Source organism: Homo sapiens, chromosome 14 (assembly GCF_000001405.40).
Source record: "Homo sapiens chromosome 14, GRCh38.p14 Primary Assembly".
Classification (NCBI taxonomy): domain Eukaryota; kingdom Metazoa; phylum Chordata; class Mammalia; order Primates; family Hominidae; genus Homo; species Homo sapiens.
This window is the reverse complement of record NC_000014.9, coordinates 54,754,743-54,781,455: the sequence shown is the minus strand read 5'-3', so window position 1 is coordinate 54,781,455 and position 26,713 is coordinate 54,754,743. Positions and strand designations below refer to the sequence as shown.

General features: G+C 48.8%; 1 protein-coding gene across 17 annotated transcripts in view, besides 4 other annotated features; it reads right to left on the bottom strand.

Moving 5' to 3' along the window:
* The window catches only part of SAMD4A (sterile alpha motif domain containing 4A), a 228,000-nt gene that overhangs the window by 11,860 nt on the left and 189,427 nt on the right, over positions 1-26,713 (bottom strand). For 16 of the 17 annotated variants that reach the window (XM_047431137.1, XM_047431136.1, XM_024449516.2 and 13 more), the window contains 5 exons: positions 20,962-21,295; positions 16,916-17,001; positions 11,234-11,352; positions 6,321-6,522; positions 4,916-5,042 (listed from right to left, as the gene is read on the bottom strand). In XM_047431137.1, coding sequence (XP_047287093.1) covers positions 4,916-5,042; positions 6,321-6,522; positions 11,234-11,352; positions 16,916-17,001; positions 20,962-21,295 — 868 coding nt within the window. Of the gene's footprint in view, positions 1-4,915; positions 5,043-6,320; positions 6,523-11,233; positions 11,353-16,915; positions 17,002-20,961; positions 21,296-26,558; positions 26,624-26,713 lie in introns of those variants that run through there. The other variant, NM_001161577.2, reaches the window with a different exon arrangement.
* Positions 7,053-7,981: an enhancer, noted in NCBI's record as "NANOG-H3K27ac-H3K4me1 hESC enhancer chr14:55240193-55241121 (GRCh37/hg19 assembly coordinates)". NCBI's record gives its function as "activates a minimal SCP1, AML or CMV promoter by ChIP-STARR-seq in primed H9 embryonic stem cells {active_cell/tissue: H9 hESC(primed)}" and the evidence as "EXISTENCE:reporter gene assay evidence [ECO:0000049][PMID:30033119]".
* Positions 7,053-8,464: a biological region, named in NCBI's record as "P300/CBP strongly-dependent group 1 enhancer GRCh37_chr14:55239710-55240909".
* Positions 7,130-7,179: an enhancer, noted in NCBI's record as "active region_8417". NCBI's record gives its function as "activates an Ori minimal core promoter by ATAC-STARR-seq in GM12878 lymphoblastoid cells {active_cell/tissue: GM12878}" and the evidence as "EXISTENCE:reporter gene assay evidence [ECO:0000049][PMID:35858748]".
* Positions 7,265-8,464: an enhancer, noted in NCBI's record as "P300/CBP strongly-dependent group 1 enhancer chr14:55239710-55240909 (GRCh37/hg19 assembly coordinates)". NCBI's record gives its function as "activates an origin of replication core promoter dependent on BRD2, BRD4, P300/CBP, MED14 and CDK7 cofactors, with strong dependence on P300/CBP, by STARR-seq in HCT116 cells {active_cell/tissue: HCT116}" and the evidence as "EXISTENCE:reporter gene assay evidence [ECO:0000049][PMID:35650434]".

Here is a 26,713-nt window from a genome sequence, read left to right as displayed (position 1 = left end):
TCTTTTCAGAAGTCCCACACGTATGGAGTAGTCCTGTGCTCAGGCCCAGGGTCAAGAAGATTCCGGAAGAGAATGCTACCCATCCCTAATGAGGTGCTGCTGCAGCATCCACCTGAGGAGCCCAAAGGGCTTGTCCTTGGCAGTAACCGTCCATCCCTGCTGGGTCTCACATGTGTGGCACCCACGGTGCAATTCTGCAGTGCTTTTTCTCCAAGGCACTGAGGGTAAGGAGCCAATTTCTTTAGGACTTTAGAATAAGAAACAGGCTGGGGCATTCCAGGAAAAATCTATAGAATCCCGTTTTGCCAATGACAGCGGAGGCAACTCTGTTGGATAACTAGAAAGGTGTGGAGTCTGGTTCACTGAGCAGCAGGGTTGCTAGGAGGAGAGAAAGCAGGGAAGACAAAAAGGGACAGAGCAGTGGGACCTGGTCTGCTGTGATGAGATGAGTAAAGAAGAAAGGAAGACAAGAGAACTAAGAAGAAAGGGGGAGGATGGTAACAAAAGGGAAAGAAACGGCACAGGCAGGGAAACAGAGGGGTGGGGCAGCAGGCAAGCTGAGGATGGCAGAGATGGCCATGGAGGGTGGCAGGAGTAATGAATAGCATCCCTGAGTTGACCATGGGAACGCACCTTTTCTCTGGTGGCCTCCTAACATTCCTAAGCCTGCAGAAGGTCAGTGCCTGTGGAGGTCCTCTGGGACCAACGCTTTCACAAAAAGTGATGGGTACAACATGGTATAAGATGATATTGTACCATCTTGCCCCAAGTTGATGCTCAGAGGCAGGAGGCTGTGGGCCCAGCTGGGTTCTTGGCTATGACAGAATTGATTTATTTATCAATCTCCCTACCCATTGTCTGCCAGTCCTGAACAGGGATGTCTGCCTTGATTTATTAGAAGACATGGAGGAAATATTTATCCAGTACTGTACTTGGGTCCCTGTTCTGGTTTCTGCCTCTGCATGGCAGCCCCTTCCACACCCCACTGGACCCAGTGCACCAATAACTCTCTATTCTTTCTAAAGGCAGTTCTCCGGAAGGAAATGAAAAATAACAGCCTGGAGCCCTGTGCTCCCAGATATATGCAGCGTGCTTATGGCAGAAGAATCCCAATTGTGAGCTGGTACTTAGAGGAGGTTTGCTGTGGTGATCAGGTAAGTCACACCATGAAATGCTGCCATGTGAGGTGCCACTGGACCCAGCTCACATCCAGCTGGTTCACAACCAAGGGTAGTTTGCATGTGGCTTTGGGCAAGGGAAGAATGAGATTTTCAGAAGGCTGTGCAGCCTACCCTTCTGAAGGTTTTCCTTTGAAGCCTGCTATGGGGTTCCCTGCCCTTTTCTGTTAGGCCCTCCAGGGGGTAAAGAACCTCCATGATCTCCTACTGTTGAGCCAGGGCCACTCCAAGATCCTCTCTGACTGGATCCCAAGGACAACTAAGCCTGGGTCAGTAGAAATTAGTTGCTTCCAAAATAAAGGATCCCTCTCCAAGCAATTTCCAAACCAGTTATCTAGTTGAGAAAACGCCCTGCCTCCATGAGGAACGTGACCATTCGCACAGGCGCCACACTTGTTTTCTGGTGAGCGTATTACACCTCGTAGTGTTTCTTACTCATCACTGGCAATAGCCACCTGAAGGGTCTCCTGGCTGGTCCCAGGAAACAGCTAAAACTTGTCCATGTGAAGGTGGAGGTTGCAGTGAGCTGAGATTGCGCCACTGTACTCCAGCCTGGGTGACAGAGTGAGACTCCGTCTCGAAAAAAAAAAAAAAAAAAAGCTTGTCCATGTGGGAATAACATGAAACACCACTCCTGAGGGGCCTCCAAGTGCCCGTGAATTGTGTAGAACCAGGAACGAGGGATGAGTCCTGTAAACCCGAGCAAGGTGACTGATGAATTGATCCGCAACTTGGTGGGTTCTAGCCCTCTGTCTTCTCTGTATGAGACGTTTAAAGTCTCCCATCAGTAGAGTTATTTTAGGTTTACAGAATGAAAGCATCCTTCAAATGCATTGTAGTCTTCAAGATTTGCCCAGTTTACAATGGATTCTCTGAAGACATCTAACAGCCAGGAGGAAAACACTGCATTGTATGATAACAGTTTTCCGAGTATCTACTTTTGGGTTAGTTACACATCTCAATTTCATTTTGTGTTCACTATTACTCCTGTTCATGTACAGATGAAAGCCACTTTCTGACTTCCTGATTTTTGCTGTCCTGACATGATATTTGTAGTCTAGTTTTAACGCCTGGCCACAAGCCCCGGGAAGTCTCCATAGCGAACCAGATTGCACTGCTTTGTGTGGAAAGGCCCATCTGCAGAAGAGGCTCTGAATCCAGGAAGAGCAGAAGCGGCTCTGAATCCAGGATGAGGACCCTGACTCTATGACTCTAGGATGAGCCTTCGTCTGGACCTGCTTGGAGGTCAGAGGTGTCGTCCCTGGGTAGGAGGCTGCCTCCTTGGGAGGAAGGAAAAGTCACTACAGTGACCTGTGGCCTTGACAATGATTGGCAAGGGCTGAGGAACCTCAACCCTGTGCCCTTAAGCAGGGGCCTTCTGCAGCCTCCTTCCCCTTCAGTGAGGGATCCTGGGTCCTGGCCAGGCCCTGCCCTATCATGCCCTTTATGCATGTCCTGGAAGAGCCACCCAGCATGGTGCTGAGCGTGCTGGGCAGGACTTAGGAGTGGCTCCTGTCCAGCGTTCAATGGTTTATTTGCAATCAGGAAATTTAGAGCGGGCTTTTTCCTGTGCTTTGGCTGTTATTAAAAATGCCATGTGAGGATCTTTAAGACCTTGCTGGAAGTGGGTTTGTAATACTTGAGAGATTTTAAAAAAAACACTCAAAGCGTTCCAGAGTTTTAAGTCCAGTGTGCGAAGCATATTATTTAGAGACTTGCAGGTAACTACAGACTGCTAAAAGGGGTTGTGCCTGTGGGCTAGGAAGGGGAGGGGAGAGAGACAGTCACTTTTTGCTCACAGCACTTCTGTATTATTTGATTCTTTAACCACAGGAACAAGAGGGTTTGCATGAAGAGTGAAAATGATATTAGGTTCATAGTTGCCCTGAGCACAAGCCAGCCACTTGGCATTGCTGTGAGATAGTGGAGGGGAAACAAAGGTATAGGTGGAAGATTCTATCAACAAACCCGAAGCGCTCCGGGACAACCCAGCTTTTAGAAAGGGGACTGTCTGGACCTAGTCTTCCCAGTTAAGATGGAGAAAGCTCAGGGAAGATTCAGTATGAACAAAGAGGAAGGCTGAGAACTGGCAAAAGAGTGGCAGGAAGGGAAAAAATCAAGAAGGCCTTGAGAAGGTATACAGAATTGAAGACAGTGGTCACTCTGCTGGTGAGACTGAGGCCAGGGTGAAAGACCCATTCAAGGTGACAGATCTCCTTGTGCGCAGGACCTCTTCAAATCTTGTCCAGATTCTTTTTTATTGGGAATGGATTATACATAATTCTGCGTGAAAACAGAGGATGGGATGAAAGGACCCTGGGATAAAGCCTTCAGAACCCCCAAATTTTATCATGTTTCTTCCCAGGAAGAAAAATAGCTAAGCATATAGAAATATGTGTAATTATATTGTTATATTTTGGTGCATAAATATAGAGAAAAGGAGCTTTAAAACAAAAGTGAGCAGAGTTTTGGAAGTCAAGAAGCAATGTGAGCAGGCCTCTGCACTGGGTAGCTGTCGCTCCCCTCCCTGACATGCCGTTCCCAGCAGTGTGTCCTCCAGCGTCCTCCTCCTCCCTGACCTCCCAATTCCAGCCTACCCCCCCACCCCATCATCCTGCACCCTCCTGCCTGACTTCTACTCGGAATCCCCCATGTGGAGGAATCCCCCCAGGGAGAGTGGCCAGAGTCCAAGCTCCTCAGCTTTGGATTCAAAGTCCCCCACCATCGGCCACGACCTTTACAGCTCCCTGGGTCCACTTTCTGCTACCTCAGCCAGACCCTTTGGCCCAGCCACGGCTTCCGGGCCATGCTGTGGTATTCTGGACCTTTGCAGTCTTGCTCCTGGGTTCCTTCTGCCTGTAACTCTGCCTTCCCTCTCTCCACCCTCTGCTGTGCCCTGAAGCTCAGCTCCAACTCCAGGAAGCTTCCTTGCCTATTCCAGGCCACAGTAACACTTCTCTTCTTTAAACTCCTACAGATAGGACTTACTGGACAGAGCGTTTCTACTGTCCAGGGCATTTTCCTACAGGTACAACACATCTCCAGTTTGCCTGCCTTGGGGCAGTGGGGGTGGGGGGGGGTCCATCCAGATAGGTGCAGTGTAATTGCCTGTGTGGCTTGTTATTACTCATGGAGTCTACAAAGTCTACAAGATCACTGCCTGCATAGAGAAAGGGTTCAAGTATTCATTAGCTGTGCATAATTCCAACCACTCTGTTTTAGGAAGCATAGTGAAAGCTGAAATTGATCTGAAGTGTGCTAAGTTGCTCTTTAACCAAGTAAAGGAAAGATGGCTGGTACAACAGTCATCACTTTGCAAGAAAAGCCCAAACCAGGGGGAAGGTCTCAGCATCAACAGTTTTCTCTTTCTCTGTCTCACTCTCACTTTCTCTTTCCACACACACACACACACACACACACACTACACATGGAGCCCTCCCACCTCCCCACCACCAAAGCCCTCTTGTGCTATCTCTGGTTTAATCAATCTAGAAATATGACTAGTATCAAAAATATCCCCATCCGATTGCAACCAACTCTGGGGCTCCACATGCTGGCTCTCAGCCAAGCCGCCGCTATTCATGCTGGCAAGGCACAGTTTAAAAAAGGAAAGGCTTCTATAAGCTCCAAAGAATGCACGGTGACAGTCGAGGCTAAGCACTTTCTGGCTGGGTTTGCTAGGGCATCTATTTTGGCCTCCCCTCTGTGTCAAGGGGACATGAAGCGCCGGGCCCTACCTGGCTGCTGGAACATCAGCATGTTCTGTGGGGAAGTGTGCACGGGCAGCGAGCGGGTCCTCTGGACTGAGCTGTGGGTGCGGCTTGGCATGCTATTGCTGCCCCCGGGGTTGGCAAACCACAGGTTCTGGTGAGAAAAGCAAAAGGGGAACTTGTTAGTTCAGCCCCACTGGGGTGGAGAGCAGAGCCGCCAGCAAGAATTTGGGAGGCAAAGATCCCAGGAGAACTCTAACTTCTAGAAAAGGGGCTTGCAGGCCAGTGCTAGCATCTGCTTATTTATAGAGAGAGGGTTTAGATTCCATTCACTGTAATTTCTCTTCACCTCCTCAGTGGTGGCCTTGCTGTAAGCCTCAGCTTCATCTGGACACCTCTTTCCCTATCTGCAGAACTCTTTTTATCGCATTTGTTGCTTTTGCTTTTTCCCTGCCACTTTTCTAGGAAATGGGGGAGTTCTATAAATGTATGCAACGAAGAGCACAAACTATTTCAGGGCTCTGATTTTTTTTTTTTTTTTTTTTTTTTTTTAAGATTCTTACAATGTACTCCAAAGCGAGGGGGAGAGAAAAGAAACTCTCAGCTGGCAATGAGCTGGCACAACTCAGCCTGTGTGTCCCAGCAGTGACGTCTTCTTGAACTGATCTGGGGGCTGGGGACAATGGTCAGAAGATGGGGCTTTCTGGTACCCTGGGTAGTGAATCCTGCCCGTCTTGCCTGAAGCCCTTTTCCTGTTTTTAAGCTGATCTGTCATCCCTTAGTTTCTCCTGAGACCCCAGAACCTCAGACCTACTTGTGTCCCTCTGATCCTAATCCCTACCCACAGAGCTTCGAGAAGCTCTGGGCACACAGGCGGAAGGCACTGGGCAGGGGTGGGGCCTGGGGCTAGAGGGGTATGAGCGACGGGCCAGAGAAGTCAGCTCTAAACTGCACAGCAAGAACCTCTGGGCAGGCTGAGAATGTGTTAACTCTCCCCCTGGCACACTCTCTCAGACTTTGTCCTGTGGATGCTCCACCAGAGCTGGGACTGAGACAAAGGAGCTTTTTGCCATGGATAAAAAGGGCAAGAAACTTCTCTAAATGCCAGGCTCTCCTGGAACCCAGATTTGGGTGGCAGAAGGTCAAGCATGGGGCAAAGAAGAAATAGGTCTTGCATTTCTTTCTAAAGGTCCTCTTGTGCAGGGTCCCCAAGGTTAAAGTGGTCCTCTGGGCATCCTAAACACAGCTATGGGGTTGCTCTGTCTGCTAGAGAACAACGCGAACAATGCTGTTACCTCTGAGGAATGGTGGCAACTGCCCCCAGCATAGTCCCCTTTGGCCTCTCTCCCCACCCTGGGGTCACCTGGGGGGACATCTGCAGCCTTGGGCCTTGAGCTTGGCCATCCTCCTCCTTCCTTGGGGCAGAACAAACCTGTCTTCCTTGTTTCATGATGGTGGGGGTAGCTGTGGTGTTGCGCTGGTTGGAGCTGACGAATCCACTGGTGCCCAAGAGGCCCAGGCGGGCGGAAGGGACGTTCCGAGAGGGGATCTGGTACTGGCGCGGGTTCCGTCTGCCCATGCCACCGCCCACAGAGCCAGCCGTCGGGAGGGAGTTGGATTGCCCAAAGCCTCGACTGTGAGAGCCAAGAGAGAAGGAAGAGAATATCAGTCGTTATTCAGCCCTTTTTAAGCCACAGGCTTCCCAAGGGATGTCGCCTTGGAGGTCTCCTCATTTTTTTTTTTTTTTTTTTTTTGAGTCAGGGTCTCACTCTGTTACCCAGGTTGGAGTGCAGTAGTGAGATCTAGGCTCACTGCAGCCTTGACCTCCTGGGCTCAGGTGATCCTCCTATCTCAGCCTCTGGAGTAGCTGGGACTACAGGCATGTGCCACCATGCCCAGCTAACTTTTTTTTTTTGGTAGAGATGGAGTCTCACTATGTCGCCCAGGCTGGTCTCAACTTTTCAGGCTCAAGCGATCTTCCCAACTCAGCCTCTTGAGTAGTTGGGACTACAGATTTTTATATTTTTGGTGGAGACAGGGTCTACCATGTTGCCCAGGCTGGTCTGGAACTCCTGAGCTCAAGTGATCCTCCTGCCTCGGCCTCTCAAAGTGCTGGGATTACAGGCGTGAGCCACTGCACCCCGCCTCTGCTCACATTTTGACAGTTATGAAGCCTACAGGGAGCTGTGTGCCAGCAAATAACTATAATTAAAACAGCAGCTAACATCTGAGAGGCGGTATCACATGGAACTTCCTGGGACTTCGACATTATTTTTCGATCCTTGCAACAACCCTATGAAGTAGGTGCTCTCTCCTTTGTAGCTGGAGAAGTAAAACAGCGCGTAATCCTTGTGCACAGGTCACACAGCCAGCAGGGGGCAGCGCTGGCACGCAGGCTCAGCAGGTTCACCAGCACTCTGCCTGCCGCCTTGCGCCTCCCTACCGCATCTTCTCCAACCCATGCTGCTGCAGATGAGGACACAGGTCTTGAACACTCACATGCTTTTGAGAGGCCACATAGCAAGAAAACAGCAGAGTCAGGGTCACAACTGGTCTGACTCCTGTCCCAGGGCTCCCTTCTTTAATCCTATCATTGTTTCTGCTCAGCCTGTCTGTGTGGCGGACTTGGAGAAGCCTGTGAGGCCCACCAGGATGTAAGCTCCATGTCTGTCCTCATCCATCCTGCATGTCCGGTGCCTGAATCAGTTTCTGCACAGTGAATGCAGTTGAATGAATGAACCAATGAGTCTCTGCCATCATGACGCATCCTCAAATGGGAGAGCTGATGCCACCTGTGGGGCGAGGGATATAAGGTCGGAGATGATGTTTGCAAGTGTTCTGGACCTAGGACACAGACTGCCTTCACTTCACAGGCCCTCCCTGCAAAGTCGGCTGCATAAGGGCCAGGGCAGGTCCATGCTTCTCCTGGGTCCGGGCAGGGAGGCTGCCAGAGCCCTTAGCATCACGTGCAGATGCCGGCGCTGCCGTTGGGTTGGGTGACCTCAGCACTGAAGAACGCATCCTCTCTGACACGCCTCAGGTCCGGGAGGTTATACAGCAGCCGGCAGGGTTTCAGGAACCAGCACATTCTTTCCAAGAAGAGTCAGCTGTAGTCATTCACGGATGTTGAAGTCAAAATGTTTTACCTCCAGTGGCCACAAGATGGAAGAGATCTGCTTTTCCAGCGACACAGGGGAGGTTTGTACCAAGCCTGTGGGGAGACTCCGGGAAGCAGGGCTGACGTAGTTTAACCAGTTGAGGGTGATAGGGGCCTGCAGAACAGTCATTTCCTGAGAAAGAGAGCTGTGCCTGTATGTAGGGGGAGGGGCATCTGAGCCAGCAGTGCAGATCTCAGAAAATGTTTCTCTTCTCCCCAGAATTCTTAAATTTCCTAAGGGGAGAAGTGGCAGGAAGGAGAATTCTGGGCTTGTGCCTTTCTACTTCCAGGCTTTGGTGGCCAAGGAAGGAGTTCTAGATTCTGGTCAGAAGCTCATCTGAATGTGGTGAGGAGGACACTCACAGGTTCTTGGTATCTTTGTCTTGGCCTTTCTTCCTTTTTTCTCCCATTTTCCCTTTTAAAAATTTCGTTTTCATTTTTACGAAGGCTTCAGATTTTTTGGTTTGAAGGAAGAACTCAGGGCCAGGAGGGGTAGAATAAGTTTCACATGATGAGACCTCCTTTGGAGGAAGGACAATCTGACTACGTGAGGTAGAGACAAGGGCCGAGTGTTTTTTTTTTTTGTTTGTTTGTTTTTAATGACGAAAACTAGTCCTTTGAGTTCTGAAGTCGGAATTTTGGCCACCTGGTAGATGATTCAGTATTCTGCTATGATTTTTCCTTATTTAGCGTGGATAGCGTTTTCTCACTTTCCTTTTTGGTTGGATTTTTAAAAAGTTATTTCATATGCAAAATACAGAGTCAATGAGTGATGCTAAAATGATTTGTGTTTCCAGGAAGGCAAGACTGAATTCTTAAGCAATATAATGTGGGAAGAGGACTCTGTTATGGGATACTTATAGTCACTGGAGAAAGGAGGGATCCAGGGACTCTTAGGACTCAGCTGTATAGGGGAGGGGAGTAGGACGTGATGAGGGGAGAATTTGGCTAGGCCATCTTTCTCTCTCCTGATGGGACCCTTCGAGGGTTATTACAAAGCCAGCTTTGCAGAGGGTTGCCACTGCTGGCAACCAGAGTGAATGCTTGGGTTACTTAAGATCGCTAGGCTTAATGAAATCATCAATGCTTTCTGGGGAGAGAACAAAGTGACAAAAGCAAGTTTTCCTTTCTCATTCTCTTGCCTTACCTTTCTAAATCTGATTTCATTACACTGAAATGTTGAAATGCATGAAAAGTCTTTGATAAAGTAACATTAATAAGAACCAATTAATTTGGGATTTGTGATAATTCAAGCAGGGGTTGGGTTGCAGTTACCTTTGTATTATTGGAGAAACAGGTCTTCAAAGCAAATTAATAGCACAAAAAGATCCCAGAGGAAATACTTATGAGTATAAAACATTTTCCAGCCTTATAGTAACATCCAGTTGAACATCCACAAGCGATTCATTCTTATCTAATCAATTAAAAGGGGTCCATTAGGACTCCAACCTGGCAAACCTTGGGTTAGCCCAATCCAAGTGTTACTAACAAACACCCTGGAGAGGTCAAGGTTCATGTCCCCTGCTCCACCTCCAGAAGGCTCTCGGATGTGGACCAATGACAACACAGGGCTGACAGAGGCCAGGGTGGGACTTTGGGAGGAGCAGCAAAGAGCCGCCCCATCTTCATCTCCAACCTCCGAATGCCTTCTTCCTCTTGGAACTTGTCTCCCAAGGGCCTGGTGTTGCAAGAGGAGTCTGGAACCTTTTCTATTCACCTGGGAAAAGTATTGCTGCTCTCAGAGAAAAGCCACTTGGGATGGGGGTAGGCCCCAGGGCAGGAGGCCAAGGAAGCAGACCTTGCCTTTCATCTGGGCCATCGGGAATCCTCAGGGCAAAGAGGTAGTCTAGTCCAACCCACAAGGGTTGGCAACCCCAGAGGGCTTGGGGCCAGGGAACTGGTCCTGAAGAGTGTCGCTTTGCCTGAACAATCTTTTCTGCTCATCATCCTGAGACCATGAGAGTTGCCTGGCTTCCATAGGGTTAAAAGCATGGAGCTGGAGCTGGTGCCAGCCTGCCTGGTTCAAATCCCCAATGCTGCTGCCTATGAACTTGTCTGTAAATGGGGTTAACAACAGCAGCTCTACCTCACATGGTTGTCATGAGGATTAAATGTATTAATATTCTTAAAGTGCTTGGATACCACTTGGCATATGTAAGTGCTAAATAAATGTTTGTTTAATAAATAACCGTTATATATGCTGGAATGTGATCACACTTCAGTGTTAAAATTAATCTTTCATGAAGTCTTTTCACAAACTTCAACTGGCCTTATCTCCCTTAAATCCAAAATAGTGATGTTTTAAGGCACGCTTACGCAAATAAATGCCCAAAATTTTAACACCACGGGCAGAGAGCTTCTATACATGCACCGAGAAATGAAATGAATTCAGACCCTTTCAGGTGCAAGTGAAGAAATTATCTGCTCATGTTTTAAAAGTGTAAAATAGAATGTTAATTTTTCAGGATGTTTACATTCTCATTCCCTTATGTCCCAACAATTCCCTATCATTGTTTAAGGCTTAACCCTTCCTCTACCCTTAATTTCTCCCACAAATTGTCACTGCAGTTCATCTTTAATATGTAATTGGATTCCTCAATTTAAAACTATATTAAGGTAATGGGTTCTAAAGTACAACCAGGCTTATTTTTAACTGCGTGCAAGAAGCTGAAGTACTATGGAAAAATCAAGAATTGTACTGCTCCACTATGAGACTGCAGACCAAAATAGACTAGCACTGGGCTCTTCACCCTGCCACCAACTATAATTAGCTTGTCTACAGCACGAAGGGGGAAAAAAATCACACTACCACTTAAGGTGCTGATTGATAGAACAACCCATTTTTATCCTTTCAGATCCCCCTTTTGTGGGTAAGCCATCCTGTGTTTTGCCTGCATTTGTTAAATCATACCCACTCTCCCCTCTGATACCCATCCGGACTATTACCATCATTTTGACAATGCAAACTGTGTTACAAAAGCTCACATTCAGCTCTTCGCCTGGGAATGCTCACTCTCACAGCCTTTTCCCAGCCCCACCTGTTTAAGCAATGCAATTTGGAACTCGCCACAGGGCATCTTCGTGAACAAGGAATGGTGCCCTGCCATATTCCTGCCCCAGGAACCGAGGTAGGCAACAAGGCGCCAGGGGAACCACTACGCATTACAAAGAATGAAATCCCAACATACTTTCTTTGCTGTCGATATCCTGATATGTCTAGAAGGGTTTTCCGAGGGAAAGACCGAAAGAGCTTCTGCACCTGCTGTTTCCATGACAACAATCTTTTTTTCTGTGTCTCTGTAAATGCCTGCAAAAACAAACAGGACTTTTAAATGGGTGACGCAGCCTGGCATTAGAGGGAGAAACATGCAATTAATAAGGGGAAAACATTGGAGTCTCTGCAGTTGCCTTTTCTTCACCTGTTTCTAACCTGGTCCAAACGTAGTCAGTTTAATTTGGGAGCTGCCCTATTTTGAAAATTTAAGTTATCTGACATTGGAGGTGCGTGATAAGGTACACGCATCAAACTGTTGACAACCCTCATTTTTGGTGACATTTCTGGCAGATCCATATCCACATTCCCCCTCCCTCCTGACTCCACTCCAGACTCTATTTATTAACCAAGAATGAATTGCAAAATTGATTGTTGAATACTCTGGCTTTTGCAGGCCCCCTGCATTTTCATAATCAATGAAAATTCTCAACCACTCCAAAAATCAATCTGCTTGATGGTGTGTGGGCACCCTAGAGTGGTCTACAGGGTGTCAGAGAATGGACTATATTCTCTGTGTTTCAGGGCTTTGCTGAGACATCTCCAGTTAATGGGTCTCTTGCCTTACAAAAATTCCAGTGTACCAGTCCTGACTTAAACCTTCTCTAAAGTTTAGGGAAGTATGTAGGTCTGATGCCTGCAGAACTCTTTTCTAGCAAAACTGGTGTGTGTGTTTTGCCTGCTGCCTTGTAACAAACTCTTACCTATGTTATATTTCCTTTTGCGTTTAGCCTTTGTACTTGCCACAGACTAGGAAAGGACTTTATGTGGGTTAGGAGTCTCCAAGGCAGGAACTCTCAGATTCATGATATATTAGAATCACCCAAGGAGACAGTCAAAATTCAGATACCTGGGCTCCCTTCCACATGCCCAGAGCCTGATTTAGTAGATCTGAAGGGGATGTCTAGAGAGTTTGTGTTTGTACCAAGTGCCCTGGTAATTCTGCTGCAGGTAGAGCATGAACATGAGGTGTTCTAGATGGTGAGGACCCCACGTCACATATGAATCCCCTGCCAAGTGACTAGAACTGTAACTTAGAACACGTGCTGTGGGAAATCCATGTGATTTGATTGATTCACAGTAACAAGGAGGGAGAGAAGTTTCCGAAGCAGTTTTGTCAATAGGGCATGAATTCCTTTAAGTAGTCATAAAATATTACTCAGTAACAGACTAAATGACTAGTTCCCATAAAGGAAACAGATTCCTTAAATGGAGAAAAAAAATGACAGCTTAGTTGTCTCCCAGTGATGCTGAATCTTTAAGGACCTAAATACCAGGAGAACTCTGTGGACAAAAGCAGAAGGATGTTAATCATGTGGCAGAAACGTCATTGAGGACTTACAAACCCCTTCTTCCCGGGTGACCTTAGCCAGATGCCATTAAGAATATGCATCAAGGTGGGCTAGGAGGCGAGGGCGTGGCTCTCCTCCACAGTCCCTCTCATTGGTTGGTGATGCTCCCTGCATGTCCAGCTACACACGAGTACCTCTGAAACTGGGCAAAAGGCAAGCGTTTCTGCTGGACTAACAGCGAGAGGGGATCATTTCTGCTTTTGACTGGCTTATTCAGCCACATGTTGTGTGAGGACACATGTGGGCATGCTGGTCAGGGTGACCTGGGGAGGAGAGTTGTGGGCCAGAGGAAGGCTCTGGATGCAGATGGGCAGGGCTCGAATCCCTGCACGCCTTTACGCATGCCCCTCTACCCAAGACTCAGTGCCTCCTAGAAACTGAGGATAATAATATCTCCCTCAAAAGGATGTTGTGAGAATGAAATAACACATGAACAACACTTAGAATACCTGGAACGTGCCTCGCTCTTAATAACGGTTCAAATAGATGCCACTCACAGGTGTCACACTGGGGTTTTGTTTTGGACTGCACAGACCGGCCGTTTGGTGGTGGTATACGGCTGTTCATCGCGTTAAGTATTCAACATGACCTTGAGCTCCAATAGCACACAGCAAATGACTTCAAGGTCTCTAAACTATAATACTGAGCTGGTCTGGTGCCAGCCTGAAGGACAACTGGCCTGAGTTTCCAAGTGACAACGGAGTAAAGGGCTCATTTCATGGATGTGCTTCCTAAGACATCATTACAGACATGACATCTTCCCTGGTGGCAAACAGCATCCAAGAAGGTGGGAATGTTGGCGCCTTCCTGGGGAGGTCGGCGCATTCCCTGAGCACCTCAATGGGCAGCGGGCTCCTTTCCTTCAGGGCTGCAGATGGGAGCCAGCCCATTAGCAGTGCTGAGTGAGAGTGGGGGCCGGTTCTCAGCTGGGGATGTGGTGCTCGGTTGTGGCTGGCTTCAGGAGTTTCTGAACACTGGTTCCTGGCCTACAGGGGAGTGCTCAGTTATGGGGGATCTGCATTGGCTATGATGCCCAAAATCTCACTGCAGCCCCCTCCGCTGGCAGCCCCAGGTTGGGCTGGGGAGCAGCTTCCCAAGGGGCCTGGAGGGGAAGGGAAGGCTTCATGCCCAGCAACTGCCCAGGCACCCCTAGTCACCACTCCAGAGTTCTGGCCCTCTCAGGCCTAGACCAATGCATCTGTCTGGAGGAAGATGGCTATGGTGTCCCAGCATATGTGGCTGGATGAAAAGGTTCATAAAGCGGCAAGAGCTCATCTTCTCAGAGCCACCTCAAGACACAGGGAAGTGCCCAGAGGCCTGGGATTATAATTCAGGAGTCAAAGTGACTGGTCTCAGAAGTAAAATTCAGAACTTTCCTCTCCTTCCATTCATGACTCTGGGGACTCGGTCCCTCCATCCCGGGAAGGAAGGGAGGTGTCCTGGCCCACTCAATACCTTCCCTGCTCCCAGCCAGCTAAGGAACAGCGTGTCCGGGCTATGAAGGGGCGTCCTGTCTCTCTGTGCCCGGGTGAAACTTCTTCCAGGATGGAGGCTGTGCGCCTTCACGGGGCCTCACAGGCAGGGCGTGTTCTACCCACACAGAATAACCGGAGGCTGTGGAAAATTATTCAGACAGCTTTTCCTCTCTCTCAAAGTAAAATCATAAAAAGCCCTGAACAACATTTTCCCTTCCAAAGCAGCACGCAGGCCCCTCCATCCTGACATGAACTTAGCAAGCAGACACCTCACCAGCTCCTTCCTGACCGGGGCCCCCAGCCACGAGAGGCCCCTCTGGGCAACCAGAGGAGATCACCTGGGGCTGCACGGAGGTCAAGGGGAAAAAACAAAACCAGAGCCAGGGTACCAAGGGAGGACATGCAGGATGGCAGGCAAGCAGGAAGCGTCAGGCCAGAGTTTCGGGGCTGCCGAGGGACAATTAGGAAGCCTGTGGATTGTTTGGCACAGGTAGCTGGAGGACTCACGATTTCTGTCTCATGGGCTCAGCTGTCTTGAGGCAAGGTGGACAGTACCTTGTCCTCCAATATCAATGCTGAGAGCAGGCGTGGGAGAGGAAGCAGAGTTCCGGTGTGCTTTTATCAGAGGCTGAAATCCTCCCCATTCCGTCTGCCCCAAGCCACCCACAAATGTCCTACTTCTCAACAAAACACGGAGCCCTGCAGACATCACTCTCTTCTGCCTCCTTACGAACCGAGTCTGTACCACCAGGACTCTCGCTTGCCTTTCAGGTCTCAGGGTGGAGAGGGTTCCTCCACGGAAATGCCCTGTTCTGGCTCCAGGTTTGGTGCCCGCTGCTGCTGCTCCTCTGTGCTCCAGGGCACTCAGGGATGACCTTATCAGAGGCTTTCTCATCATGGCTGTGATGGCCTGTTTCTTTCTGTCTCACCCCTTCTCTCACTACTGTAACCTGCCTAATTCTCTCACTACTGTAACCTGCCTAGGTGCTCAGTAAGTATCTAGGGAATGGACGAGTTGTAACATTCTTCACTGTGTTCTTGCTTTCTCTTCCTTTGTCGCTTTTTCCTGGCCAAAACGAGTCCAGTGTCAGGATTCGAAATAGAAAAGGATTAGTCAAGGCTTGTGGGGAGAAGGCCTTGTCCCTGAAACAAAGTCACAAATAAGCCTTCAGTACGGGCTTTTGACAATGCCTGGGTGCTCTAGGGAAGCCATTAAAGAGGGAAAAAACCATTTTTTTTTCAGTGAAAAGTCTAGTACTTTGGTATAGTTAAACATTTCAGAGGATGGCGTGTCTGAGCCCCCAACCTAGGCGGCTGGTCACTGTAGTCACACTGACAACTTTGGCCAGAGCCGCTTGGGCACATAAGAATCCATACGGCCAAGAGGAGAAACTGCAAAAATGAGGGTTTGGGGAAGTGGGGAAGGGGGAGCTGGGATGGAATCCCAGAGGGGGACTGTACCCTTGTATGTGAAGTGTGGGTAGTGGGTGAGGGCCGTGAGAACTTCGATAGCACAGGGCCCATGTGACAGCTGGAAGGGTGAGAACATGAGAGGGAAGTGGAGAAGGGGCCTGGCCGCTGTGCTGGGCGTCTCCCTTCACCGGACCCTACTGGACTCCTGGAGTACTGGCTGCCCATGCAGCAAAGGTGAGGAGGCCTGGGGCCTTTACTATTTTTTTTTTTCCCCGAGACAAGTCTCACTGTGTTGCTCTTGCTGGAGTGCAGTGATAGGATCATAGCTCACTGTAGCCTTGGCCACCTGGGCTCAAGCCATCCATCCTCCCACCTTGGCCTCCCGAGTAGCTGGGATTACAGGTGTGCGCCACCACACCTGGCTTTTTTTTTTTTTTTTCGTAGTGACAGGGTCTTGATATGTTTCCCAGGCAGGTCTCAAGCTCCTGGCCTCGAGTGATCCTCCCACCTCGGCCTCCCAAAGTGTGGGGATTACAGGTGTGACCCACCACCCCGGCCCCCTTACTATCTTATTCTCACATCGAAATCCTACAAAAAGACTTCACCATCCTAGGTTTATCTGGTCCCAAGTTTTCTCTAGTCTAGGCCTTGCTGCTGTAGCTCTTTGTGGGGAGGGAGGGGTGCCCAAGGAGCCACTGGAGTTTTAGGTCTGAGGTGCAACTCCCTCTCCCTACATGTCCCTTAGGGACAGCCACCAGTGCTGACGGCTGCCTAGCCCCGCCATGCCAAAGGGTCTATCTCACTCTGTATATGAAGACTGTGCCTGAGGGTCCAGTAGGCACACCTGCAGCCTGCCTCAGGCCTCCTCCAAAAGGATATGTGGCAAATACGATTCCTACAACAATCGCAAGCCCAAACACACACACACATATACACATTCATTATTTCTTTATGGGCTCTCTTTCTCCCTTCCTCTCTCCAGTTCCCTGAGCTAAAAGGCAAGAGTTCAACACAAGATTTTTAAAAGACCTGACAATGCCCAGGGCTAAGCAGCAGGGCTCATGTGTTACCCTCTGAGGCTTGGCCACCCGGGGCTGCTTCCCCAGCCAGAAGTCGTTGCAGGCGTTCACTGCACATCAGAACACTCAGTCTGGGCAAATCTTTGGACACCAAAGTAATGTTCAAGCTGTGTTTGGGTTTGAGGCTGTCATAGCCTAGTTCTGCCCAACCTATTATTAATAACTGTCCACCACTCAAAAACAAGTTGTTGGAGGCTAAAATGATCACATCACAGAAACTCTGAGAACCATTTCTAAGCAATAAAAAAAAAATGGTTTTGTAAAACCTGTCACTACTCACCTCATGAATTAGACACTTGTCTATGAGCTGTAAATAGGAACTTATATTTTCCTCATCAGGTCTGGAGACCAAGAGCTGTGTGCACACTGTAATTAAAAAGAAAAGATGAATTAGAAAAATGCACCCCTTTCTAATCTCTGGGACCTGACTCTCATTTCCCTTCAGGTCCAACACTCTGAGAGGTATGTGTGTCTGTGGCTTTATGTAAGGCTCACAAAAAAGGCCAAGAGGCTCCTCATTCCACAGAAGTCAAAGGCTGGGTCACCGTGGGAGCCCTTGTCTCGAGAAGCCCCTTGGGTTAATTCCAGTCATGCCATTCTATATGAAGCCTTCTGCAATAAGACACTGCAATAAGAGGAAGAACACAGCAGTGAATAGTGGCGTCCTGAGCTTGGTCTTTGAAAGTGGCTCTGTGTGAGGGGCTTCAGAAGTATCCAAGACCCTGACACTGTCAGAGAGCAGCCTCCGTGATTTTATGAATGAGCGCACACCCCTCGCCAGGTGCAGAGACAGCGGCGTTTGTGTTTGGAGGAACGAGCTGGCACCTCCTGGAGACGGGGAGGTGTGTGGGTGTGCACATGTGCAGGAGGCCTGCTACTCACTCCTCAGAGGGTTGCTTTCTCAGAGTGATATGCACATTTATGCACACACAGGCGCAGGCTCACCTACACACTCAAGTCAGTGCTAAATAGGATGGAACAGAGTTAGTCTGCGGGTAGAGTATACACACGCACTAGGTTTCTCACGGCCATGTTACTGTGGCCCATTCTGGTCTCATTGTAGAGGTGACGATTCCCCGACTTTCTTAGTCATGTGTACAGGGCCACAGTGGAGATGGGTGGACAAAAGGAGTCAGCCAGAGAGTAAAAATGTCTGACACTCAAGGAGACCAAGCTTGAAACCTGGCATCATACTTGATTCCTCCCTGTCCCTAACCCTGCATGGCTGATTGGTCACACAATCCCATTTATTTCTTGCCTTTGCACATACACTTTCAGTATAACATTGTTTGTCATAACAAAACCTTGTAAACTACCTCACTGCCTATTAATTGGGACTTTGTTAAATACATTACGGTTTATGCATACAGTGGAATAGTATGCCATCTTTAAAAAAAACTTTGAGATGGCGCTATTTGTACTGATAGAAATATTGTAAGTATATATACTTTTTAAATTTTATTATTTTGTTTTTGAGAGACAGGGTCTCACTATGTTGCCGAGGCTGGTCTTGAACTCCTGGGCTCAAGTGATTCACTTTGGCCTCCCAAAGTGCCGGGATTACAGGCATGAGCCACCGTGTCCGGCTATAGTATTTTTTTTTAAACCCACCAGCCTGTAGAAAAGAATGTAAATAAGGCCTGCGTGTGTATAAAAGTGAATATTCGGCTGGGCGCGGTGGCTCATGCCTGTAATCTCAGCACTTTGGGAGGCTGAGGCGGGCAGATCACGAGGTCAGGAGATCGAGACCATCCTAGCTAACACGGTGAAACCCCGTCTCTACTAAAAAATACAAAAAATTAGCCAGGCGTGGTGGCGGGCGCCTGTAGTCCCAATTACTCGGGAGGCTGAGGCAGGAGAATGGCATGAACCTGGGAGGTGGAGCTTGCAGTAAGCCTAGATCGCGCCACTGCACTCCAGCCTGCGTGACAGAGCGAGACTCCATCTCAAAAAAAAAAAAAAGTGAATATTCATGTGCTTATGTATGATGATGAAGTTTCTGAAAGGATATCCCAAAACTTAATAGTGACTATCCCTGGGAATGAGGATGGCAGGGTTTGGGGTTGGGGGAGGGTGGTTTTCCACTTTCCACCATGTTGTTAATTTGAATTGTGTATGCTGAGTGTTAACTGGGGTTACAGCTTCCTTTAACGTAGGTAAAATGTAAAGAAGCAGGGCCATAGCACTGTGGGTCTCTCAGGAAGTAGGGCGATGTGCCGCGTGTTCAGTAGCTGCTCCACTTGGGCTTGGCAGAGCTGTGTCTTCACCCATGGGGAAATCTGTTCTAATCCAACACAGCTAAGGGGTGGGTGGGGGAGAGCGAGGGCCCACCCTGGCCATCAAGCTCCAAGGGAAGCTGTGAGTCATCTCCTCCACCAGATTACTATGAATTTAAGTCTTTTTTTAGGACATGCCTTAAGGTGGGTGGTGGAAGGGTGGGGGTTGTTCTTACTGCAAACTTGGTTTTTTAAAATGGTCTGAAATATTGGACAATAACAGAGAAAAAATTGTTTTCCCCTTCCAAAGGAAAAGTGCTGGCATTGCCACATGTTAAAAAATAATCAAGATGTCTTGTAAGACACCCAATTAAGCATAAATTATTCTACTGGTGGACATTTTCAAGGATATGGAAATAAGGGTCTGCCCCAGAAAAGGCAGAGGGTAGCCCAGGTAGAAAGGGGCGCTCTTACCCAAAGGACCACGCTGTGGAGTCTACCCTCCCCGACAGGCGTGCACCCAGCATGTATGCTTGGATGGTCTGTGGGAAGGCCTAACTTTAGATACTGGTGTCATCCCTCAATTTTTGCACCGCCTACTTATGAGGCATCTACTGTAAGCACTGTGCTACAAAAGCAGGGTATTGAGTAGCTATTAAAAGTGGTCTGTGCTGCAGACTAATGAAGATACAGTCAAGCAAACAGGCAATCACAATCTAGTGTGAACTGGGCTAAGACAAGGAAAGTAAAGGGGGACGTGGGGCAGGTGAAAGGGGGTACCTCACCCAGCCCAGTGGATCAGCAGGCTTCCTGGAGCATGTGAGGACTTGGCTAAGACCTGGAGAAGGAGGCATGACCCAGGTGAAGGGAATGGGGTGAGGAAAAGAGTGTTATAGGCAAGGCTGTCCCATGTGGATGTGCAGGCTGTGCACTGCACAAGTGCATGCCAAGGTGAGTGCTAGCAGTGCTGTGTCCACCCAGACAGGGCACCATCTTGTAATTCACATGAAGGCTTTGTATAAACTAGTAGGGGCCTAGGTTCTAGGCAGAGGGGGAGGTGTGCACAAAGGCTCAGAAGCCAGGAAAATATGCAAACTTTTGAGAACTCAAAGATACAAAGTCTGGAGTGTAGAATGGAGGTGGTAAGGGCTGTAGAGGTAACAAGGAGGCGCCAGATGACACGTGACTCTTTAGGTTTGGATTTTGTCACCTCACAGCGGAGAGAACCATCACATGAAACTTAACCTTGTTCTATCTTGAGCTGATAAGAAGGCACAGTGGTAACCACGTGCATGATGGAGAGACTGCAGGGTTCAAATTCCAGCCCTGCCATCAGCTGTGTAAGCTCAGGTGGGCTAATTAGCCTGTGTGCCTCAGTTTCCTCCTCTGTAAAATGGGATAACTTGGGAATTAAGTAAGCTCTATAGGTAAAGCACGGAGAACTGTGTCTGCTATAGAGGAAAAGCTAAATAAGCACAAGCTATTCGTACTAGAGCATTTCACATGGCAGGCCAGCCGTGAAGAGAGAATATAAACGCAGACACGGGAGAATGAGAACAAAACAGTTCCATGCTGGGAATTCTCCAAACCATGGCCACATCTGAGAACACTTTCAGTGGTGAGGAGAGAGGCCACTGCCAAGGCTGGCATTTTTCTGCACAGGGAGATCTTTGGGCTCTGGCTAAAGGCGTCTGTGCCCCTTCAGTTTGTCACTCATTTTCTGCCGCTTTTGCTTTGGAGAGAGGGTGAGATGCTGAGTGAACGGTTTGTTCCCAAAATCATCTTTTTCGAAGTCCTTCCCACCTTCCTCCTGCAAGGGTCCACTGGCCCAATGAGCACTGTAATAAAAGGGCTGGCATCCCCTAGTCTGAGGGAGTTGGGAGAGAAAGGAGCCAGGATTAAGGAGTAGGTCTCCTGGGGTCACAGTGATTGCAGTTCAAACCCAAAAGGCTTAACCTCTCTGAACTGCACTTTCCCTATCTGTAAGATGAAGCTAATGATGTCTACTTGGACAGGGAATTTATCCAGCACCCAGGGGAAGCCCCCAGGAGCCTGTCGCTCTGGTTAGTGGTATCCAGAAGAAAAAAGAAATGGGCGAATGAGGCTCTACCTTTCCCCATGACGCGTGTGAACTGCCCGGGGAGGTCCCCCTCTGGCAGGGGGGCGACGGCCAGCTCCCCATCGCAGCTGCTCAGCTGGTGCGGCTGGAGCCCCCCGCTGGCCCCGGCCGAGGGGGTGGCCGTGGCGCCAGTGGCTGCGGCCCCATCTTTGCAGTCGGGGCTCTGGCTCTCGGGGCCCATCAGTGAGGGCTGACGCGGGGCCTGGGGCTCCCGGCGGCGAGCCTCGGGGGTGGTGCTCGGGGAGCTGTAGGCCTTGATCGGAGTCAGGATCATCTGGTGCAGTTCCTGGAGCGGGATGCGCAGGCTGCCCCCCTCGATGATGTCCTGGACGGTGAGAGCAGGAAGACCTCTGTTAGGCTCAGGAATAAGGGTCATCCACCCCCGTACCTGCCCTCCCCTGCCCTGAGCTCTTACAGGATTCGTGGCTGCTGGTACCCTCATCAGGACGTTTTTGGGAAAAGGGACCACTTTCGTTTCATCATTCTAATATTGGCCCAGGAAGAACACTTGGAAAATACAGACAGGTATAGCGAGGAAAATACACACCACCGGAAAATCCCACTATCTAGAGATGACCACGAAAACAATTTGGTATATTTCCTTTTCTGCCTTCCTCTGTGCATTTCTGTAAAATGCAGTTATACATATTACAGTCACATGCTTTAGGAGCTGTACAACAAAGTTGGGTGACATGATGGCTTTGTGTCCTGTGTATGTTCTGGATGAAATAGCTTGTTCACACCATCACTCAGTCCATGGCACACGCAGCACAGGGTAGCGATTAAGAGCAGAGACTCTGGGTCAGAGGCTGGGGTTTGGATTCTTGCACTCCCATGTGAACCTGGGCAAATGGCTTAACCAATTTGTGCCTCAGTTTCTCTGTGTACAAAATGAGCATATCGTGGCTGCCTCATTGCCTTTAGGGTTCCCCAAGGAGTTGACATCCAGCCATGAGATAACTATATCATGCCAGGGGCTGTGGTACGGGTCGGGGCTGCTATGAGGGGAAGCTCCTGGAGAGGGTGACATGGGGCAGGGACCCAAATGAGCGTGGGCATGAGGATCCTGGGGAGAAACGCTCCAGGTGGAGGGCACAGCAAGGGCAAAGGCTCTGAGGGGGGAGTCTGAGGAACAGCAAGGAGGCCTGCGATGGAGCAGGTGGGCAATGGTGTCCCGTCAGACACCTAGGCCTGAGCCTGGAGGCCTTGGGCCAGGGCAGGGATGCTGAAATCTAGTCTAAGATGGGAAACCAGGGAAGGTTTTGAGCAAGGGAGTGACAAGTTTTACAAGGATCATTCTGGAGAGGAATATGTATAGAACTGTAATATAATATATATGTCTTTATGTGTTGTATAATAAAATTGGATCATTCTGCACATATAGTTTGATATACTGGGCACTACTTATTAAAAAAAGAAATAAAAGTTGATTCTGATAGATATTTTTCTCTATGCCAGATGCTCACAGAGGCCCAAACACTTGTGGCTGGGGCTTGGGAGCCTGGGGCCCTGCCTGGCATGGCGGCTGGGGTGGGCCCTCTGCAACAAAGCTGCTCTCCCTGTGTTTCTGCACATCAAGGTCTTCCTAGGACCTGGAAAGGACATTGATAATCAGGGTCCCAATCACTGATGAAGTATTTAATTTTTTTTTTTTTGGAGACAGAGTCTTACTCTGTTGCCCAGGCCAGAGTGCAGTGGCATGATCTCAGCCCACTGCAACCTCCGCCTCCTAGGTTCAAGCAATTCTCCTGCCTCAGCCTCCCGAATAGCTGGGATTATGGGCATGTGCCACCACACCCAACTAATTTTTGTATTTTTAGCAGAGATGGGGTTTCACCATGTTGGCCAGGCCGGTCTTGAACTTCTGACCCCAGGTGGTCCGTCCGCCTCAGCCTCCCAAAGTGCTGGGATTACAGGCGTGAGCCACCACACCCAGCCCAAAGTATTTAATTTCCTGAGAGCTCAGAATAGCAAGGACATTTTAAAAAGCCTGATGCATGAGTATCCAATCCATTCCTGGGGTCATCTCTTACACTTGCTTGATGGCGTCAGGGAATGCAAACATATGAAATGTGATCATTTCTGCACCCAAACATTTCCAATCAATCGATCAGAAAAAGGAAAGCTGAGGACGGCAGGCTTGGACGTGCCTGTTTCAACTGTGGGCAGCGAAGAACACCAACAGCCACACCCTGTCATTGGCAGGAACCTGCTTTTTTTTGGCGGGGAGGGGTGGGAAGTGGAGCCTGGATTATGCCTTAGCCTAGTTGGCACGAAGGGTTTATGAAGGAAGTGAAATTTTAATTAGCCACCAGAATTGTCTCTCAAACCTGGCCAGGGCCACTGTTCAGCCTATTTTAGGGGAGAAAGTCCCTTTTTCTCTTAGGAGAGTTTCGCGTCTGCCACCTTCCTTCTACACATGACAGATGTCTCTGCAGGAGTCAGGCGTGATCCTGATCACTCCTTCCCTGCTGCCCACGGTAGACCCGGCCCTTTCCCAGCATCTAGACACCATCATGTGATTGGCTTCCTTGACTTGACCTGATGATGTGACCAGTGCAGGCACAGGGAGGTGAGCTAGCTGACCCATGCCAGGAGAGCACCTACCACCTTTTCTGATCAGACTGCGTGCTAACTAGGGGACCCCTGGATCCTACCTTGAGGTCCTGCCAACGGCCCAACCAGCCCCTGGGTTGTGGGGGACACTGACCTCCTTGTCCAGCCCCTGACTAAGGAGGGGAAGGGAAAAGAGAGGGATGAAGCTTCCCCATGAAGAGGGGCTAGGAAAGCCACGCTGGGGTGATCACATGTATCCCTGCCATGCCATCCCATGCAGCTGCTGTCAATGGGATGAGCAAATGCATGCTTGGGACACTCTGTCAACTGCACCAAACCCCTGCCTGCTCTTGTCACATGGCAAGAAGGTTTCTCCAGCTAGTGGTGAGAGGAGATTTTGGTTATGTGAAGAGCATTCAAACAGGAAACATATGCATGCCCCATTCAAATCTTATCTGATTCTTCTATTGGAGGCAACCACACCAAACAAAACAAAACAAAACACACACACACACACACACACACACACACACACACACACACACAAATAAAGAAACCAAATACATAACGAATAATGTTGGACACTTTCTATAAAATATAACTTCCCAGGAATCATGTAGAATTTTTTTCCCCTCATAGACATCAAGCCATTGTCTCAAAGATAACACTTGGCTTACAATCAGTTAGCTCATCCTGTGCTCAAGCTGGCATCAGTAGCATGGCACTGTGATCATCAGGTCATGTTCCTGACACTTAAAAATGAATTCCTGAACTCAAAACAGAGTGCCCAAATTGAGAAGGAAACAGGGAGAAATGGCCAGAATGGAAATCAATCTAGCACCCTTGACTGTAAGAATTAATTCTCCTTGTTGACAAAAAATTGGGAATCCACCCAAGTCTTTACTGATCCTTCATACCAAAAATATAATCCCACATGATAAACACAAAGAGGCACAGTGAAGCTGTTCATTAACTAACGTGCTGTTACAAAGCTGAGGAGCTCCTTTGAGAGCAGACAGTGGGAAGTCTGGTCCACCACTGACCACAGCCATCACTCAGGAGACAAGCAGGAAGGAAATTACTTCCTGACTTATACCAGCCCTGATGTGGCTAACTTGGGTCTTGGAGGAAGGCTGGTTCAGTGCCTTTCCTGGGCATATGACAACAAGCTGCAAACCATCTGGAAAAGAGAGTCTTGAGCAGCCGAAGTGTCCTCAGCACTCATGTGATATCTCTAGCTCCATCCTTCCCTTTGTGTAAGAATTGGGATTCTCACATAATAGACAGGACTCCTGTATCTAGCGCATCCATTCTTTCCTCCTCTCATGCACCCATCAGCTGCTGAGCCCTGTCATCAACCAGGCACTGTTACACACTGGGGATATGAAAACAAATTAAGTCATAATCTTTGCTCTAAGGTGCTTGCAGTTTCTGGGACCCACACGGTATGATGGGCATCAGGGCAGGGAGCTGTGGGAACATATAAGAGGGATCCCTGACCACCACTGCATGTTTCAGGAAAGGATAAACAGCATGAAAGGAACAAAGGATGACAGGACGCTATACGTGGCCGAGCAGGGCTCAGGGTGGCCAGAGATGAAGCTGAAGAGCTTTTCCAAGTCCTTAGCAACCAACTTTCTAAGGAGTTTGGACTCACTCGAGTTTCTTTTTCTTAAAATCAGGATACCAGCAGCTCTCCTGATTACCTTAGGAAGTTTGCTGTAAGGGCCAAATCCACCGATAGGGGTGAAACATTTTTAAAAAGTATACAATGCACCTTACTGGTATAAGGCATTATTACTCCAGAAATATTTAGCATTTAATATTAAGTTTATCTGCGGTTTCTCTGCAGCACTTGATGGAATTGGGGGTCTCAGATCTGAACCCAAGAGGACAAGATCTGGATGTGTTTGAAGAAAAGGCGCAGGCTTACAGAGAAGCATTTTCTCCTTCTGTAAGCAGCAATAAATGGAAGTGAGGTGAATGCATGAGTGTGTGTGTATATTTCCTTCCTCCATGCCAAGGACCCAGGCTCAGAACATGGCTTAGTTTCACAGTTTGAGAGTGAACTGAAAAGGCAGGATGGTGAATAAAAGCACATGGAAACATTTTCATTACTCAAGATAAATGTTGAAAATTCTGCTCCAGTGACCATTCTAATTTTCCTTTTCCACCACGTATCTTGAGAAGTCTTCAATTCTGTACCCCATGGCCCCTCACCCATTCACACCAACTGGTTTACAGGCTTCTGCTTCTGTTTCCTCCCATTCCCCTAAAACTCCTATCATCATGGCATAGTGACCTGCTGAGGGCCAATTTCAGAGGACAGTGTTCCGTCTCCATTGTACGTGACACTTCCATGGCACCTGGTGGGATTCCTTCCTTCAAACCCTCCCGACCTTCTGGGCGAGCATAGCCTGTGTTATTGTTCAGCCCCTCCATATCTTACGGTGCTCCTCAGGGCCTGTCCACGCTCTTGACCCTTGGCACACACTTCTGGGGAGTACCTATTATCAGTTACACTCACATGATGCACAACTGGTCCTTTCAAACCTTGTGGGGCTCCTGGACTCTAGACCTGCTCTTCCGGCCACTGACTTGCCATTTCCACTTGGGTGTCTCACAGGCACCTCAGACTCAACCCTTCTCATGGACCTACATTTCCCGCCCCCACTTCTCCTATCTTTTCTGTCCCCAAATACTATGACACTCAAACCCAAGCCTCGTCACAATCACCAGACTCCCTCTAAATGATCTCTATCCTCCTCCTCCATCCTCACTGCCTCTATTTTGGTTCAAGGTCCCATCAAGACTTGCTATAGTTTCCTAATGAGTTTCCCGGCCAACATCCAGCTCTTCTGAAGGCTTCCCACCTCATCACTGCACAGCGGTCTATTTCACCTCAGGAAGCTTCCCCCACCTGCTATGGTGATGACATCGATCAGACTGGGTTGTGAGATCATATGGTGCCATATCTAACTGTCCCAATGCACGTCCCCAGCTCCCCATTGCAGGAACCATGTATGACTCACGGTTAATCTCCAATGGATGGGGCAAATTGAGTCCCAGGCAGCTGCTTGATAAGGGTTCAGTAACTGAACAAAAGAGCTCTGCACACAGAACTCAGACAGCCACCACTGATTATGAACTAACTATGGGCGGGGCCCCAGCTATCTCCTTAGAAATC